This window comes from Homo sapiens, chromosome 7 (assembly GCF_000001405.40).
Source record: "Homo sapiens chromosome 7, GRCh38.p14 Primary Assembly".
Classification (NCBI taxonomy): domain Eukaryota; kingdom Metazoa; phylum Chordata; class Mammalia; order Primates; family Hominidae; genus Homo; species Homo sapiens.
In genome coordinates this window covers 846,558-859,072 of record NC_000007.14, presented here as the reverse complement: position 1 = coordinate 859,072, position 12,515 = coordinate 846,558, and the positions used below count along the sequence as shown (strand labels likewise).

The following is a 12,515-nucleotide window of genomic DNA, read 5'->3' as shown; positions in this document are numbered from 1 at the left end:
CAAGCAATTGTCCTGCCTCAGCCTACCAAGTAGCTGAGATTACAGGCACCCACCACCACACCCGGCTAATTTTGTATTTTTAGTAGAGACGCGGTTTCACCATGTTGGCCAGGCTGGTCTTGAACTTCTGACCTCAGGTGATCCGCCCACCTCGGCCTCCAGAGTGCTGGAATCACAGGCGTGAGCCGCGGCGCCCGGCCTATCGCATGCTTTCTCTGTCACCACTGCTTCTCTTCCTACCCATTATAGGGGCTCTCTGCACATCAGAGATAATCTTACCACACGTATTGCAAATGCCTTTACCAATCTACTGTCTGACTTTGATGACTTCTGCCAATCAAATGATTGTGTTTTCATTCTTAAGCAGCTCTAAATGTCTAGATTTTCTCCTCTGCCTAAGGATGATGGACTTGAAGCAATGTCTATGATATGTTTCGACACGAAACAGAGCAAGCAGCAGGTACAGCGTGGGTCTATCTAATGAAAGGTACACAGCAACAACCCAGCCCCAAGTCAGTGCTGGCCCTGGGCTGCACGCACACCAAGGACGCATACCAAGGAGACTGGGAAGACGCATGGTGGGTGCTGACGCACAGTGGTGCTGGAACGGGGAAGTCTACGGAGCACTGAATTAGTTATTTTGGAATATTTAAAAAGTTCACATATAGTAAAAAAAAAAAAAGTTTTTAAAGGGAGTTGAAATTAAACAACTTAGGCCAGGCATGGTGGGTGGCTCAGGCCTGTAATCCCAGGACTTTGGGAAGCTGAAGCAGATGGATCACTTGGAGTCAGGAGTTTGAGACCAGCCTGACCATTGTGGTGAAACCCCACCTCTACTAAAAATACAAAAATTAGCCGGGCATAGTGGCACATGCCTGTAGTCCCAGCTACTCGGGAGGCTAAGGTGGGAGAATCGCTTGAACCCGGCAGGTGGAGGTGGCCTGCAGTGAGCTGAGATCGCGCCACTGCAGTCTAGCCTGCGTGCCACAGCAAGACTCGGTTTCAAAAATAAATAAATAAATAAAAAATTAAACAGCTAATAAACCTAAGTCATCAATTCAAGTTTTCTTTTACTTTCTATTATAAAACAAAAAGTAAACATGCAGAAAGCTCACTCTTTCTTGTACGGCATCCACTGTCTCACAGCCGGTCTTCACGTGTCGCCAGCTGGACAGCTCTGACTTTAGCTGATCCAGCTCCAGCTGGAGGTGCTCGACTGTGGGCAGGAGCTGCTCACCAACCGCACTGGAATCCAACAGTGAGAATGGGTCACACACAAGCCTCCCAGCCTATACGCTTCCCACACTACACACAGGCTGAGGGGAACCCGATCCCACTCCTGGGTGTCACAACTGTACAGATGTCATCCTGTGCCACACTAACGTGGAAACTGGATGCCAGTTTCAAATACAGTTCCCAGAGAGGTTGTCTTCTGCATCAGTTTATGTCTGTAACATACAAATGTTCACACTGCACAAGGAGGCTATCTACAAAAGTGCTGCTAGCAGTGTTTCTCAGTGGCGAGTGAGAGCTCTCTCTGAAAACGATTTAAGCATTTAGAAACTTTATTTCTGGACTGGGTGCGGTGGCTCATGCTTGTAAGCCCAGTAGTTTGGGGCTGAGGCAGGCAGATCACTTGAGGTCTTTACAGGCACACATACTTGTTGAGATACTAACAATTCATATCTCAAAAAGCCCATTCCCAGATCAACACTTTAGGATTGACATATTAACACGTTAAAGCAACTTTTTTACTGAAATAAAAGCTTTGGAAGGAGAGAAAACCGTGCTCCAGCTCTCACACCTGTCCTCACAGAAGAGGAACATGGGGCACAGGAGAGGATGGACCCTCCCGAGTGCAGACGCGGGGACCTCGGGAAACCACAACCAAGCCAAGGCTGCCGAATCTACAGGCGGGGAGGGCTGTGGGGAATACGAGCTGCGTGCATAAAATGAAGTAAGAAAGACAAAGCTGCCATGTTGGGAACACCTGTGAGAGGCAAGCACCCCACTTAAGGGGACTTGGCAAATCAGTGGTCGTGTGGAAGAAAGCCGCCCTGAGTGAGGAGCAAAATGCCAGCTTCCCCAGGAACTGCAGAGGGACCCGGCTGTGCCATGGATTCCAAGGGCGGCAGGGCCGACAGCCACGCGGAGAGGCCCACCGTGACACGCCCAGCACAAATCCGGTGGTTCTGGAAGCAGGTGTCCTGTCCACCAGGGACTGCCGTCCAGGAGCAGCAGCAGAGATGAGGCTGAGCTGTAACCCCGCCCACCTAGATGCCAACGGTGCCAGCGGAGGCCCGGTGCAGAGCCCACCCTGACACCCACCATGGCACGGGCTGCAACATGGGCCTTGACCTACTCCCTGAGGTTGGCCCTGCAAGGACCCTGGAGATGAAGCCCTCCGGGTCACAGCAGGGGCGCGGACAGCACCTTTGAGAGTGCTAACTACAGAGGTCCACGCCGCGTGGAGGGGGATGTGGCAAGCCCCGCAGGACCCCTCTGTCCTCACGCAGCCCAGCAGGAGTGTCTGTCGGCACGAACCTCAGGGCCTTCAGGTGACCCTCGGGGGAGGCCGGCCCCGGGTCCCCCATTCATCACTCTGCTGCCGCTCCACATAACCACACACACACACCGAAGACAAAAGTGAATGTTTTCCAAATCCTCCTACCTGATTGTTTTTTGCTTGGTCTGTTCTAGTTCCTTCTGGATGGCCTAAAAAGTATGAGAAATAGTCTACTGAAACACATAAGTTATATATTAACTTTTCATAAAACCACATACTTAAAACTCCATTGATTTATCTGGAATACCCCCTTTAATTCAAAGTCCAGATCTGCCTGTGGGTGGCAGGTAGGAAGTGTTCATTGAACATTTCAAAGTAACCTTCATTACGTGTGCGCAGAAAGGAGCACAAATCACATGAGAACGGCCTGGCGGGCTCAGAACATGCAGCTCCTGTAACCAGCACCCGGGTTGGGAGTCAGCTCCCTGTCACACCTCCAGAGTGTGTTCTAAACGTGAAGGACAGGGACACGGCAGAGGCACACATGAAGCTGAGCCGTGCTGGCCTGTGCCATCCGCAGCAGCACCACGCTGAGCACCAGCGTCAGCCCCAAGTCTCACTCCATGGAGGTCTCCACAGCCCGGCCCAGGGCAGGCAGACAGAGGAGGAGGCGCCCCACAGACCTTCTCGGGCGGACACAGGAGGAGGCGCCCCGCGGACCCTCTTGGGCGGACAGAGGAGGAGGCGCCCCGCAGACCCTCTCGGGTGGACAGAGGAGGAGGCGCCCCACAGACCTTCTCAGGCGGACACAGGAGGAGGCGCCCCGCAGACCCTCGCAGGCGGGTACATTCTCGCCTCTGCCTGCTCCTCTCAGCCCACCTCTCCCTCCCAGGTAAACCTGCCTGATCTCACAGGGTCCAAGGTCCAGGAGTGGGTCCCAAGATTCCCAAAAGGGTGTGCTACATACAACCCTTAGGCTCACCACACTTCTCAAGGTAGTTCAATACACACACGCACATGTGACACGCCAGGCTCTGTGTCAAGCACCAGAGACACAAAGAGCCGGAACCTGAGCCCGACCCGACTCCCCATGGCTGAGGGCAGCACAGAGGCCCAGTCCCTCCCCTGGCATTCCCAGCAACAAATGGTCCCGGCCTTCCCACCCAAAGCTAGTGCTGTCTGTCAAAAGGTTCAGGTCCTTTATCCCCCCTCTGAAGACACTGCAAGGTGGGTGTGTGGCAGTGAGGAAGCACCCTGGAGCCGGAAAGAGCTGGATGGGAACCCAGAGGCCGCCTGGAATCGGCAGAACCACCTCCTGGCGTGTGCAGCCCTGCTCTGTGCCCTCGAGAGACACGGGGATGCGTGAGTTACACACCCGATTCAATGTTAGAGCCCCAGAGCCGCTGCCACACCAGAGAACAAGTGTTTCTTTCCATTTTACACAAAACAAACAGCAAATAGCCTAAAAAGAGGAACATTAAATGACCAAAGGGCTTTAAAATATTAGCCATAGTTGATTTTCTTTTTATTTTAAAAAAGCGTAAGGTCAAAAATAAATACCTCAGATTTTTCTCTCAGTTTTCCCAGAATATCTTCCAAGTGTGACATACGCACTTCATGTTCTTGGTGAAAGGCCATAAAGTCAGTCTTAGGAAAGAGAAGGAGTGAACAAATGATGGAGAAAGTTAAGCAACAAAAACCTGGCAAATCAGGCCAAGGCGTTTCTACACGGAATACCGACAATCAGAGAATCTGTGGTCGCAATGTGGCACGGACCCTAAAGGAATAATCCGCTTCATAACAATATCCTTATTTCAGCCCTGGCTCCAGAGGTCTTTATTTATATATATATTTATTTTAAGGTTGCACTCCAGCCTGGGCCATGGGTCTCCACCTCCTGGGCTCAGGTGACCCTCCCGCCTCGGCCTCCTGAGTAGCTGGGACCACAGGCCTGAGCCCAGTGCACTGACACACCAGACCACGTGAGAGCCCAAGGCCCTCGCCGTCTCCAGCACGCCATCCAGCGCCCCTCGGGCCATCGTGGGACGTGCTGCATCTGTGCTGTCCAGCAGGGCAGCACCAGCCACTCATGGCTACTGAGCACCTGAGATGGGACCATACGAGTGAGAACCTGCATTTTAAAATTCTGTGTGGTGTTGATGAACATAAATGTACACGGCCATATGTGAGTAGCGGCATCCTCCACTAGGCAGTGCAGACGCAAACGTGAGCTAGAGGCTCGGGGGCTGAGCGTTTGACGCTGCGCGCACCGCCTCGGAGGGAAGCCCTGCTCTGCGTTCCAGTCGCCGCCATGATCACACCCACAGGCACGTGCTGGAAGACGGCTTAAGAACAGGCTCAATCCGTGCTAAAGTGAGCTCAGGCCACACACAATTCAATTCACACACAGTTCAGTTTTCACGCAACGGTTCTGAACAGCTGTCGGCTGTTTTCTTCACAAGAGAAGGCATCCTCTGAAGCAGAGGTTCCTGGGTCCCCCCACGCGATCCCTGCAGTGGGTGGGAGCATCTCAGGCTGCCTCCGAGAAGTGCGTCTGGGACCCACACGAGACGGTTTGTGTCCATCTCAGCGGCTGTCCTGTCTGCAGGGACAGAGCGCCATGACCTGCCACTAAGAGGGCAATCTGGAGAACAGGACAGGAAAGACCACGGTTCTCCACGACCGCTGGACTTCCCGCTTGGGGTTATCACAAGTCTCCCGCCCACCACTTCCATGTGCGCTATGGAACCCACAGCTCCTGGTCATCGGCAGACGACGGGAAACCCACTCCCTCTCCGGCACACTGCTCTCAACAACTAAGAACAGAAAGGGCAACCCCTTTTCACAACGGCACCTCTCCTGTCCCCTCTGTCTCCCAAAAGGAGAGAACATGGCACCCAGAAGCGCGTTGGTGTCACCATGGAGCCTGGTAGCCCGGCAGCACCCACCTCCCTCGGGGGCTGTCCCACAGCGTCTCTGACCGAAGCTGACGGCCCGGCAGCGCCGCCTTCCATCTGGTCCACCCGAGCCTGCAGCTTCTGTAGCAAAGTGGTCAGCTCTCGGAGATTCTCACCATGGTGGTGGCACTGTCCAGACAGAGAGGCCACCTGCTGCTCCACGCCACTCATCCAATGCCACGGAAAAGCCTCACTGTCACCCTGAAATGGCAAGAGAGAAATGAAACCAGGTAGTCAAACAAGCATGAGCACAGAGTCAGTTAAACCTCCAAACAGTGTCCTACAGCAAGACGCCAGCTCTGGGGCGCACGGCACACGAATGGAGGAATCCACAGAAACCCGGAGTATCAGGTTTGATCCTTACATGGCTGACTATGGGTGCTTCTCATTTTCTTCTCTATACTTTCTGTACTTTGTACAGTGATGAATACTATTATGTTTTTAAAATTAAAACTAACTGAATCATGAGAGTACTTTAAATGTGCATTTGAACTATCCTAGAACACTTAAGGAGCTCCAAAGACTTGCTTATCTGACATTTAAAAATACTTCTTACAACAGGACACCCAACTGAAGTGCCTGGCTCACAGCAGTGTGGAACGTCCCTGAAGACCTCACATGTGCAGTGCCAGCTGAGAGGCCTTTCTACCCTCTTACCTGCAGAGGCTGCTTCAGGCGAGAAGTCGTGGGTTTAAACACGTCCTGGGGGTCATCCACCCGCTGTGTTCTATGCATGCTTGCCCAGTTCAACACGGGCAAGAACGAAAAGAAATTGCCCTGGCCCCGTAAGGAGAGACCTGCTAAAAGAGAAGAGCCACCACACACACACAGGTACACCACGCTTCTCAAAACATGGACTTACACGCTCATTTTTTTCCACTAAGTTACACATATGTGTGTACCGCTTAGCCATCGGAGGCAACTCAGCCAGATTTGACTTACCTAGTAAAAGGAAGAGTGGGATGAGCAAGACTAAAAACTTGCAGATGTTTCGAAGGCACCTGGGAGTAACAATGAAAACCTTTGACTTAGAAAAAATGAAAGTCAGGGTTCACCAATCTGTTTTCCCCCTCTAGATAATTTTGTGCAAAATCCACCCCCCCAGTATTAGAAAAGCAGTTACGGTTTTATCTACAAGGCTTCTGATGCCTTCAGGAGAACCTTCATGTAAAATGGTGTCTTTGAGACCTACGTTACCAACTCTCTGGTGCTGTGGGAATGGCCTGAGCTACCCTGAGTCGCTGCCCCTTCGGATCACAGCCTTCTGAGGTGACTGATGCCACTGGGAACTGCAGCAGGGCAGAAGCCTGGACCTGGGTCCCCCATCCTGCCCAGGCCCTCCCAGCTGCCTCACCTCTGCACATTTGTTTTCCTTAATGATATCTGCTTTTCTTATCTCACAGGTTGGTTTGAAAAATAAGAATATAAAAGCACTTTTGTAAAATATACAAACACTATGTAAATATAAGCTAAATCCTTACAAAATAACAAATCAAATGAGAGCCTGCAATTGGCACAAAATTGGTTCCTTAAAGCACCACGCTGACATGATATCCATTTCCTTACCTGGTAAGAAGAAACACATTCAGCCAAGAAATCAAAGTAACAAACTGGTACCATCCAATCCCCAGCCACCAGAACACTCCAGAGGCTGCCTTCCCTACAAGAGAAAACACCAAACATTCTAAGGAAATGTTTTTAGGAAAACCAAGCTCCTAAATGGACCATTTCTGTGAAGGCCAAGCTAGAAGCACATGAAGATGAAGCTGGAGGTGAAGAAGTTCGGTGATGCTAGTCGCCACGGCAGGAAGCAAGGCAGTAACGTATCATGCTGATGAACACACAGGACAGAATGCAGGAGAGGAAGCCCCAGATCCATGCATTCTCTGCACCGGGCATTCAGGCAGCCGGACTTCCCCCAGACCCAACCCCAGAGAAACCAAGGGCGCTCATGCAGCAAGTACAGTCAGTTAACATTGCTACGTCATAAAGAACGAGACACGTTACGCCAAGGGTCAAAGCATGAGAGCCTAAATGAGATTTTTACTTGGTTAGGTAAATCGAGTGCAGGTGCTTAGCTGCCAGAAGCTCTGGAGAGAACGCAACACAGAAACCCAAAATAGCCACCTGGAGCAACCACGGCCAGCCAAAGGGCCGACCACGCCGTCCTGGACACAGCCTGGCCCACAGCTCCGATCCTGCGCAGAATCTGCAGCAAGAAGTAACCTGTGCAGGGAAGACGTGTGTGGCCTCAGACAGACGCCAGGGACCAGCCTCTGCAGTGACAGCACGGTGGGGACGCCCAAGCCACACACTTCACCAAAGCCTGCATCGGTGGGTCAAGAGTCTCCTCAAAAAATATGAAAAGCCAAATAACTCTTGTAAGTGCTGGCAATATTGCACTGACATGACCATTTGAAAAGCTCAGTTCTATTTTTTAATAGTTTTCACTCACTTCTGCCTGCAGATACTTCAGGTGTAAAATGCAGATATCTCCTAAAAACCCCAGGGGGCGGAGGTTGGAAGCCGCCCTACAAATATTGGCCATTGGTGCCAGCACAATTTATATTGGGAAGATCATACCATATTTTAAAGCAGATTGAAATTCCATAGACACCTGCAGTTCATATGTGCTAGGCGAGGAAATAATTAAGACCAAAACTAACATTATTCTAAAGGCTAATATTTTCTAGTGAAACAGTGTTTCAGAATGGTAACACAGCACTGCCGGATGACGGAATGTGCCACAATCAACTTAGTATCAAACCTCACATTACAAAAAGCAGGAAACTGCTCATGAAATCTGTTTTGTTCCAGTTTTTTTTTGTTTTTTTTTTTTTTTAATTTAAGAGACAGGGTTTTGCTACATTGGCCAGGCTGGTCTTGAACTCCCGGCCTCAAGTGATCCACCCGCCTCAGCCTCCCAAAGTAAGTTTTGTTCCAGTTCTCACTGTGGGTGGCTATCTCCTCACAGTGACTTAACACCTGCTTGTGAATTCCTGCAACTATGTAATTACAACATGGTTGACATGCAAAGAAATATGGCTTATGAGAATTTAAAAGAAAAATCAATGGCTTTATGTTTATTCATTAGCAGGTGAGACAATTATTTTTGAAACTAACTTTTTTTTTAAGATGCCAACAGCACTTTGGGAGGCCGAGGCAGGCAGATCACTAGGTCAGGAAATCGAGACCATCCTGGCTAACACAGTGAAACCCTGTCTCTACTAAAAATACAAAAAAATTATCTGGGTGTGGTGGTGTGCGCCTGTAGTCCCAGCTACTCAGGAGGCTGTGGCAGGAGAATTGCTTGAACTCTGGAGGTGGAGGCTGCAGTGAGCCAAGATTGCACCACTGCACTCCAGCCTGGGCAACAGAGTGAGACTCCGCTTCCAAAAAATATTTACAAGGGAGCTTTTCGAGAGAGATTCACCCTGTTTTAAACCAAAGTTAATACTATTCCTGTCAGTTTTTACAGCAAGACTTTAAAGCACTTGAATTCCAAGCACAAACCACACAAGACACAAATAGCATGGTGACAGGGCGAGATGAGACGGAGACGGGGCGAGAGACAACCTGCACATGCCCAGATGTGCCAGAGGGTCCCTGCCCGACCGGGCAGCCGTGGCGACTGCGAGTGGGCGGCTGTGTGCGCGTCGAGGTGCCTCTTGCCCTTACAGTCGTCGCCTGCAGGTGTGGTGACAGGCAGTGAGTGTGGCGGATTCACAAGCAAACTCTGTCCATCTCAGCCGTGCATAGCAATGGCAGTCTGTAGAAACTGGGAAACTCAATTACACACGAGACAGTCAACAATCAAAGCAAATGCGATCTGGTGGCTATGAGCTTCTGTGATGAGGGCTTAAGCAGCAGCTCCAACAGCCCGTCGTCATCAGTGAGGACCACCATGTCACACGGGCCGTTCATTCTCTACTGCTAGTACCCAACATGACAGCGTGTGGGACCAACTCCACGACCGACGCCCACAGGAAAACGAAGCCATACTTACACAGCGCTTCCCCATTTACACTGAGGTGGCCATCCTCTCTGAGAACCTCTCTCACATTCATTCTCCCATAGTAACTGGCATGAGCTGCAACACACGCAAAAGAGGCTTAGGGAACTCACCGACGCCAAGCTCAAGTGCTTCTCGCACCCTGATGAAGTCAACATGATCAGAGGATGTGCAAGGCTAGCCACTTCCACAGAGTTCCCACAGCCGATGGCTCCTACCACACAGGTGAATGCCGCTGACAGGGCCCGGGCCACGAGAAGAGACGTGAAAGGGCCCCCACCCTCTGGCTGAATCGTGTGTGTGGCCCAAACAATACAAAGATTGGCCTGCTTAAAATAGTTCTGGGTTGGGCGCAGTTGCTCAAGCCTGTAATCCCAGCACTTGGGAGGCTGAGGCGGGCGATCACGAGGTCAGGAGTTGGAGACCATCTTGGCTAACATGATGAAACCCCATGTCTACTTTAGTAAAAATGCAAAAAATTAGCCGGGCGTGGTGGCGTGCGCCTGTAGTCCCAGCTACTTGGGAGGCTGAGGCAGGAGAATCGCTTGAACCCAGGAGGCGGAGGTTGCGGTGAGCCGAGATCACACCACTGCACTCCAGCCTGGGCAACAAGAGTGAAACTCCGTCTCAAAAAGAAAAAAAGTTCTGAAAAAACAGGTTCTAAATACCACTCAGGTAAAGTTTTTGCTTTAAAAAGGTAATAAAAATCAAAAGTTGAGCACATTAACTTTTTGTTTAAGAAATAACTTTAAAGATGTTTCAACACTGATCAGCTCTGAGGGAACCAAACCACACACAGAACAAACGAAAAGTTCCACAAGCTCCCAGGGATGCAAGATCCAGAGGGGGAAGCCAGGAGAGAGCCAGCACCAAGACCACAGGAGGAGGCAGCGAGGGAGGCGCCTGGCGAGGAAAGTCACAGCACTTTCTCCACTGCGAAAGTGTGATTGGTGGAAAAAGGAGGGAAAAAATATTTAAATACCTTTTGATTCATGGCTTTTTGACTTATAGCTTTCGGATTCACAATCTTTTGATTCATGAGTTTTCAATTTGTAATTTTCTGATTCATAACTGAGCTTCATTAAAACCACTTGAAAAAGTTGAACTAAAAATGATGAAAAAGATGATGCAGTGTATCTGGCCAGCCACAAAATCCTATTCACGTAGAAAGACGCACCGCCTATTAAAAAACCATGAACATGCGTTATTTCTTCCCATAAAGCCAATATCTACTTCCTGATAAGTCAGGTAGCCAAATTATTCATTTCAGGCACTTTTAGAATGGACACCAAAGATAATCACTTGGGGAAGAGCCCAGCTGGCAGTGGACAGGGGACCCTGGAGAGGGTGCTGCGGAGCAACCCCCAGGGTACCCCGAAGACTGGACTGCAGAGTAACCCCCAGGGGATCCCGGAGAGGGTGCTGCAGAGTAACCCCCAGGGGATCCTGGAGACTGGACTGCGGAGTAACCCCCAGGGGATCCCGGAGAGGGTACTGCGGAGTAACCCCCAGGAGATCCCAGAGAGGGCGCTGCGGGGTAACCCCCAGGGGATCCCGGAGACTGGACTGCAGAGTAACCCCCAGGGGATCCCGGAGACTGGACTGCGGAGTAACCCCCAGGAGATCCCAGAGAGGGCGCTGCGGGGTAACCCCCAGGGGATCCCGGAGACTGGACTGTGGAGTAACCCCCAGGGGATCCCGGAGACGGCGCTGCGGGGTAACCCCCAGGGGAAGGCCGCCAACTCCGCTGGCGCACGGCGCTGCGGGGTAACCCCCAGGGGACCCCGGAGACTGGACTGCGGGGTAACCCCCAGGGGAAGGCCGCCAACTCCGCTGGCGCACGGCGCTGCGGGGTAACCCCCAGGGGACCCCGGAGACTGGACTGCGGGGTAACCCCCAGGGGAAGGCCGCCAACTCCGCTGGCGCACGGCGCTGCGGGGTAACCCCCAGGGGACCCCGGAGACTGGACTGCGGGGTAACCCCCAGGGGAAGGCTGCCAACTCCGCTGGCGCACGGCGCTGCGGGGTAACCCCCAGGGGACCCCGGAGACTGGACTGCGGGGTAACCCCCAGGGGAAGGCCGCCAACTCCGCTGGCGCACGGCGCTGTGGGGTAACCCCCAGGGGACCCCGGAGACTGGACTGCGGAGTAACCCCCAGGGGATCCCGGAGAGGGTGCTGCGGGGTAACCCCCAGGGGATCCCGGAGACTGGACTGCGGAGTAACCCCCAGGAGATCCCAGAGAGGGCGCTGCGGGGTAACCCCCAGGGGATCCCGGAGCCTGGACTGCGGAGTAACCCCCAGGGGATCCCGGAGACGGCGCTGCGGGGTAACCCCCAGGGGACCCCGGAGACTGGACTGCGGGGTAACCCCCAGGGGAAGGCCGCCAACTCCGCTGGCGCACTAGCAATCATCTACAGAGTACCCGAGCCGTGGCCACTTCACTCCAATGCTGTTCACACATACACTACGACATTCAGATACTGCCAAACAGCCATTTGCTTCGTACCTCTGACCCACCAGCTTAAGAATGGGACACTGGAGCACCAGAATCTCCTCCTTTGCTATTTATTATTTTTATTTTTAATTTTTTTTAGAGATAAGCTCTTGCTCTGTGGCCTAGCAGGGGCATGATCATAGCTCACTGCAGCCTTCAACTCTGGGCCTAAGTGATCCTCCTGCCTCAGCCGCCCAAGTAGCTGGGATTACAGGCGCTGGCCACCATGCCCAGCTGACGTTTTGTATTTTTTGTTGAGAAGAAGTCTCACTGTGTTGCCCAGGCTGGTCTCAAGCCTCCTGAGCTCAAGCGATCCTCCCACCTCAGCCTCCTGAGTAGCTGGAAGTACAGGCACATGCCACCATGCCCAGCTAATTTGTTTCTGCTTTTTTAGAGATGGGGTCTTGCTATGTTGCCCAGGCTGGTCTCAAACTCCAGGCCTCATGTGATCCTCCCACCTCCGCCTCCCACAAGATCTGGGATTACAGGCATGAGCCACAGTACCCAGCCTATTTTTTAATTTATTTATTTGAGACAGGTCTCAC

The 12,515-nt window shown here is 52.0% G+C and overlaps 1 protein-coding gene across 72 annotated transcripts in view, besides 1 other annotated feature; it reads right to left on the bottom strand.

Annotated features, from left to right (window-relative positions):
• SUN1 (Sad1 and UNC84 domain containing 1) overlaps nt 1–12,515 on the bottom strand; it is a 59,378-nt gene that overhangs the window by 15,862 nt on the left and 31,001 nt on the right. For 7 of the 72 annotated variants that reach the window (NM_001367634.1, NM_001367669.1, NM_001367633.1 and 4 more), the window contains 8 exons: nt 7,591–7,689; nt 7,030–7,123; nt 6,406–6,464; nt 6,121–6,263; nt 5,455–5,664; nt 4,067–4,153; nt 2,672–2,715; nt 1,116–1,245 (listed from right to left, as the gene is read on the bottom strand). In NM_001367634.1, the coding sequence (NP_001354563.1) occupies nt 1,116–1,245; nt 2,672–2,715; nt 4,067–4,153; nt 5,455–5,664; nt 6,121–6,263; nt 6,406–6,464; nt 7,030–7,123; nt 7,591–7,689 (866 nt within the window). Of the gene's footprint in view, nt 1–1,115; nt 1,246–1,547; nt 2,222–2,671; nt 2,716–3,881; nt 3,969–4,066; nt 4,154–5,454; nt 5,665–6,120; nt 6,264–6,405; nt 6,465–7,029; nt 7,124–7,590; nt 7,690–9,039; nt 9,151–9,469; nt 9,554–10,457; nt 10,656–12,515 lie in introns of those variants that run through there. The other 65 variants (NM_001367664.1, NM_001367685.1, NM_001367695.1 and 62 more) reach the window with 33 other exon arrangements.
• Nucleotides 11,766–11,815: an enhancer, noted in NCBI's record as "active region_25475". NCBI's record gives its function as "activates an Ori minimal core promoter by ATAC-STARR-seq in GM12878 lymphoblastoid cells {active_cell/tissue: GM12878}" and the evidence as "EXISTENCE:reporter gene assay evidence [ECO:0000049][PMID:35858748]".